Below are 6000 nucleotides of genomic sequence, written 5' to 3'. Positions count from 1 at the left end.
CTGACTCTTGTCTTTTCCAGGGGGTGCTCTAAATAGATGCTGAGGTGGCAACCCTTGGACCCTAACAAAAACAGCAGACTCCCTATGCTTGTGAAACTCATTAAACCCTTTTTCCAGCTGAGAGCTCTTCTCCCCCTTGCAATGGCCTGTTACACCTGTGAATCACAGGGCCTGATGAGGTTTAGAAGGACACACTTTGGACGCAGGGCAGGCGAGCCCCAAGTTGGGACTCAGCCTGAGAGGATTCTTGGCTTCACGCAGGAAACAATTCAAGGCCAGCTCTCTCCAGTCCAGGCCTCCAAGATGACAAAGAAAAGAAGGAACAACGATTATGCCCAAAAGGGCCGTGAGCACGTGCAGTCTATTCACTGCATGAACTGTGCCTGACATGTGCCCAAAGACAAGGCCATTAGGAAATTCATCATTGGGGCCAGGCGTGGTGGCTCACACCTGTAATCCCAACACTTTGGAAGGCCAAGGCGGGTGGATCACCTGAGGTCAGGAATTCAAGACCAGCCTGACCAACATGTTGAAACCCCATCTCTACTAAAAAATACAAAAATTAGTGGGGCATGGTGGCGGGCATCTGTCATCCAAGCTACTCGGGAGGCTGAGGCAGGAGAATCGCTTGAACCCGGGAGGCGGAGGTTGCAGTGAGCCGAGATCGCGCCACTGCACTCCAGCCTGGGTGACAGAGCAAGACTCAATCTCAAAAAAAAAAAAAAAAAAAGAGAAAGAAAGAAAGACATCATTCTAAACATAGCAGAGGCCACAGCAGTCAGGGACATTTCTGAAGCGAGCGTCTTCAATGCCTATGTGCTTCCCAAGCTATATCTGAAGCTGTGTTACTGTGTGGGTTGTGCCATTCACAGCAAAGTAGTCAGGAATTGATCTCGTGAAGCCCTCAAGGACCAAACACCCCCACCCCGATTTAGACCTGGGGGTGCTGCCCCATGACCCCCACCAAAGCCCATATAAGGAGCTGAGTCCTTCAAGACTGAAGACAGACTATTATCTGGAGAAAAATAAAATGGAAATTGTACTTTTAAAAAAAAGGAGAATTCAGGGGCAAGCCAGTGGTAGGGTAGAAGAAAACAGCTTTACTGAGGCTGCAGGGTTACAGCTCCATGACTGCTCCTGGGAGCAGCACTGTCCCATAGGCAGAGAACAGTAGCTCAAGGCAGCTTTGCAGCCACATTCACACCTACTTTTAATTACATATAGATTAAGGAAGTGGCCTATGAGAAAATTTTTTTTTTTGTTTTGTTTTTGAGACAGGGTCTCACTCTGTTGCCCAGGCTGGAGTGCAGTTGGCACAATCTCAGCTCACTGCAACCTCCGCCTGCTGGGTTCAAGCAATCCTCCCACCTCAGCCTTCTGAGTAGCTGGGACTACAGGCTTGTGCCACCACATCCAGCTAATTTTTGTATTTTTTGTAGAGACGGGGTTTCACCATGTTGGCCAGGCTGGTCTCAAAATTCTGACCTCAGGTGATCCACCTGCTTTGACCTCCCAAAGTGCTGGGATTACAGGTGTGTACTGCGCCGGCCTATGCAGAAGTTTCTAGAGAAGGGGTAGTAACTTTTGGGTCGTCGAGTCATTGCCATGGAAAGGGGCAGAAACGCCCAGGTGTTACCATGGCAGTGGTAAACTGACATGATGCACTGGGGGGTGTGTCTTATGGAAAGCTGCTTCTACCCTGTCCCTGTTTTTTGTTTTGGTTTTTTGTTTGTTTTTTGTTTTTGTTTGTTTGTTTGAGACAGAGTCTCACTCTGTCACCCAGGCTGGAGTGCAGGGGTGAGATCTCAGCTCACTGCAACCTCTGCCTCCCGGGTTCAAGCGATTTTTCCACCTCAGCCTCCCAAGTAGCTGGGATTACAGGCACACGCCACCATGCCCAGCTAATTTTTGTATTTTTAGTAGAGACGGGGTTTCATCATGTTGGCCAGGCTGGTCTCAAACTCCTGACCTCTGGTGATGCACCCGCCTTGGCCTCCCAAAGCAATGGGATTACAGGCGTGAGCCACGGCACCCGGCCCCCGGCCCTGTTTTAACTAGTCCTCAGTTTGGTCCAGTGTCCAAGCCCCACCTCTGGAGTCAAGTCCTGCCTTCTACCTCCCTTTGAGAAGGGGGGGCAATGGCCTGTCCCCAAAACAGCCCTAATTATGGCTGGCAAGATCTTGCAGGGTGCAAAGGGAGGGACAGAGGAGGGTGGAGTTGCACGGAGAGAGTTTCTGTTACAGCCATAAATCCTTTGTCTCTCGGAAACATGGACACTCTTCCCGATAACAGGCATTTTTGCGGAAAAGCATTTCTTCAAGAAGGTTTCTTTTCACAAGTCCAAGGCATGTCTCAGATGCTCTTTCCCCAGGCACTACAAGTTTCTAGTCTCCTCTCCCACTCTGTGAATTATAGCCTCTTCCTGCTCATTTATTATTCATGATTGCGGTGACATATCCAGCCATCTAATTCATTGTCTCCAAACGCTGACTTCATCTCCTTCCTTAAATGCTCATCCAGCTAGAATTTCTTCTGAGAAACTCCTGGGCCTCACACTGGTGTTATCTTTCCCCAAACAGGCATGATCCGCTTAGAACTTTATTGGAGATCTCGTAAAAGAGCCCTTAGGAAACAATCAGTGCCTCCATGTGTCACCAATCACTTAGCACGCAGAGAGGACAAACGAGTGCTAAATGCAATTGCCAGTTCCCGTGGCACTGCAGAGAAAATTCAAGGTGTCATCCTGCAGCTTTCCCGGGGTCAAGAAAGCTCCAAACACACCCCCCCCCCACCCATGATCCTAAGAGTCCATCCTGACCACCAAGGTCATCGACTACCTGGGGACAGTGGAGGATGGGCCAACATCTTGAATCCCCACAGAGAGGCAAGAGGCTGTCCGCCAGCTGAGAAATGAGAGGGAGCAGGGACCTCTTTTTTAGGTGCCTGTGGACCTCACAGCATGGAAATTAAGGAAAATTCTGGTTCTTACAAGGGAAATCCCAGGCATCTAGCTAGCCCCAGAAGTAAATAAGTCAATTGTTAAAACGAAAGGTAGCAATAGGGCCGGCACGGTGGCTCACACCTATAATCCCAGCACTTTGGGAAGCAAAGGCGGGTGGATCACCTGAGATCAGGAGTTTGAGACCAGCCTAGCCAACATGGTGAAACCCCGTCTCTATTAAAAATACAAAAATTAGCCAGGCGTGGTGGTGCATGCCTGTAATCCCAGCTACTCGGGAGGCTGAAGCAGGAGAATTGCTTGAACCCAGGAGGCGGAGGTTGCGGTGAGCCAAGATCGTGCCATTGCACTCCAGCCTGGGCAACAAGAGCAAAACTCTATCTCAAAAAAAAAGTAATAGTAGCTTAAAACAATAAGCCAAGAAAGTAAGAGTTCCAGAGATGTTTGCTTTCCCTATAGAAACTAAAGATAACATCTTACCATATGTCCCTGAGCTGTGTTTCAGAAACCTGGACCTCTACTGAAGGCCTGAGATAAGGGGGAACTGAAGACTGAATTCTGAGCACCATTCTTTGGTCTAAATTTCTTTCTGAGGGTCTTGGAGGGCATCACACCCCTGAGACAGTTAACATTTTTCTCTGCTGACCCCAAAGTTTTAAACAAAGCATCTCTTCCTTAACCAATTGAAAATCAGAAAATCTTTGAGTCTACCTATGACCACTAAGCCCTCGCTTCAAGATATCTCACCACCCTTTTAGGCCTAAACCAATGTGTAACCTTTGTGTACTCATTCACAATTTTGCCTGTAGCTTCTGCTTTTCTGAAATATATCTCTGCCTTTAAAAACTTTTGCCTGCAAAAGCCATCGGTGAGCCAGGATTCGAGCATTTTGCTACCTGGTCCTTCTTGCTTGGCAAGCTACAAATAAATGCCTCCCTCCCTCCCTCTCTCCCTCCCTCCCTTCCTTACTTCCTTCCTACCTTCCTTCCTTCCTTTCTTCCTTCTTTCCTTCCTTCCTTCCTCCCTCCCTTCTCTCCCTCCTTCCTTCCTTTTTTTCCTTCTTTCTTTTTCCTTCCTTCCTTTTCTCTCTTTATTTCTTTCCTTCTTTCTTCCCCCCTCTCTCTCTTTCTTTCTTTTCTTTGACAGGGTCTCACTCTGTTGCCCAGGTTGGAGTGCAGTGGTATGATCTCGGCTCACTGCAGACTCAACCTCTCCAGCTCGGGCAATCCTCTCACCTCAACCTCCCAGGTAGCTGGGTCTACAAGCACACACCACTACACTCAGCTAATTTTTTGTATTTTTTGTAGAAATGGGGTTTTGCCATGTTGCCCAGGCTGGTCTCAAACTCCTGATCTCAGGTGATCCACCCGCCTAGGCCTCCCAAAGTGCTGGGATTACAGGAGTGAGCCACCACACTTGGCCTATGTTTTTGTTTTGTTTTGTTTTTAAGACGGAGTCTCGCTCTGTCGCCCAGACTGGAGTGCAGTGGCGTGATCTCAGCTCATTGCAGCCTCTGCCTCCCAGGTTCAAGGAGTTCTCCTGCCTCAGCCTCCTGAGTAGCTGGGACTCCAGGCACAAACCACCACACCCAGCTAATTTTATTTTTTTTTTAGTAAAATTGGGGTTTCACCATGTTGGCCAGGCCGGTCTCCAATGCCTGACCTCAAGTGATCTGCCTGCCTCGGCCTCCCAAAGTGCTGGGATTGCAGACATGAGGCACCGCGCCCAGCCAATATATTTAGATACACGAATACTTACCATTGTGTTGCAATTGCCTGCAATATTCAGTACAGTCACATGCTGTGCAGGTTTGCAGTTTAGGAGCAACAGGCTACATCATCCAGCCTGGGTGTGTAGTAGGCCACACCACCTAGGTTTGCAGCAACACGCTCTGTGATTTCACACAACCATGAAATCGCCTAACAATGCATTTCTCAGAAAGTATCCTTGTCATTAAGCAACACATGACTCTCTATATGAATTACTAAATATGTTAAAACTGATCAAATTGTATACTTTTTTTTTTTTTTTGAGATGGAGTTTTGTTCTTATTGCCCAGGCTGGAGTGCAATGGTGAGATCTCAGCTCACTGCAACCTCCACCTCCTGGGTTCAAGAGATTTTCCTGCCTCAGCCTCCCAAGTAGCTGGGATTACAGGCGCCCCCCCCACCCCACCCCACCCCCACCACGCTCTGCTAATTTTTTTGTATTTTTAGTAGAGACAGGGTTTCACCATGTTAGCCAGGCTGGTCTGGAACTCCTGACCTCAGGCGATCCACCCATCTCGGCCTCCCAGAGTGCTGGGATTGCAGGCGTGAGCCACCACGCCCAGCCCAAATTGTATAGTTTAAATATGTGTGGCATAACATACTACAATTATACGTGAATCAAACTGGAAAAAAAAAAAAGTCAACTCAAGGAACTAAAATAAAACATTTTGAGGAGAGCTTCACCTCCCCACTGGCCCTGAATTTCCACGTCTTTTAACCCAACTTCTAATTTTAGATAGAAAAGAAAGGAAAGAAAAAGAAAAAAATGACACTAAAGTGAGACTTCACTTTAGAAAAGTATTGAAAATACATTAAACACTGAGGTGTTACCATAATAAATGAATAATTCCAGATCTGTCTTATGAAATATTTAAAAATATTTAAAATCAGCAAGTGCAGAGAAAATTAATGTTGAGTAAATAATGTTAATGAATAGATCCTATTATGTTCTAATGAGGGTTTTTCTTTTTAATTCTGATTTTATTTTTGTAACAGAAGCTTTTCTTTTCAAGTCTTCTTAAAGGGACTTAACTATTCCATATGTTTAAAGCACAATTTAAAGAGAATGAATCCGTTTTAAACTAGATAATGAAGACTACAGTGTACAGACAGTCTCATGTACAGTCCTCTTGCCTCGTCCTTTGGTTGATTCCCAGTCTGTTTCTTTTCTTTTCTTTTTTTTAAGAGACAGGGTCTCACTCCGTCACCCAGGCTGGAGTGCAGTGGCGCAATCACAGCTTACTGCAGCCCCCACCTCCCGGGCTCAAGTGA

The 6000-nt window shown here is 46.9% G+C and overlaps 1 pseudogene, besides 1 other annotated feature; it reads left to right on the top strand.

The window, feature by feature from the left end:
• On the top strand, nucleotides 739–1045 carry RPS26P33 (ribosomal protein S26 pseudogene 33; annotated as a pseudogene).
• Nucleotides 3496–4042: an enhancer, noted in NCBI's record as "H3K27ac-H3K4me1 hESC enhancer chr7:98104799-98105345 (GRCh37/hg19 assembly coordinates)". NCBI's record gives its function as "activates a minimal SCP1, AML or CMV promoter by ChIP-STARR-seq in naive H9 embryonic stem cells {active_cell/tissue: H9 hESC(naive)}" and the evidence as "EXISTENCE:reporter gene assay evidence [ECO:0000049][PMID:30033119]".

Source organism: Homo sapiens, chromosome 7, assembly GCF_000001405.40.
Source record: "Homo sapiens chromosome 7, GRCh38.p14 Primary Assembly".
NCBI classification, from domain to species: Eukaryota; Metazoa; Chordata; class Mammalia; order Primates; family Hominidae; genus Homo; species Homo sapiens.
The sequence above is the reverse complement of the archived record's forward strand: the minus strand, read 5'-3'. Positions and strand labels throughout refer to the sequence as shown.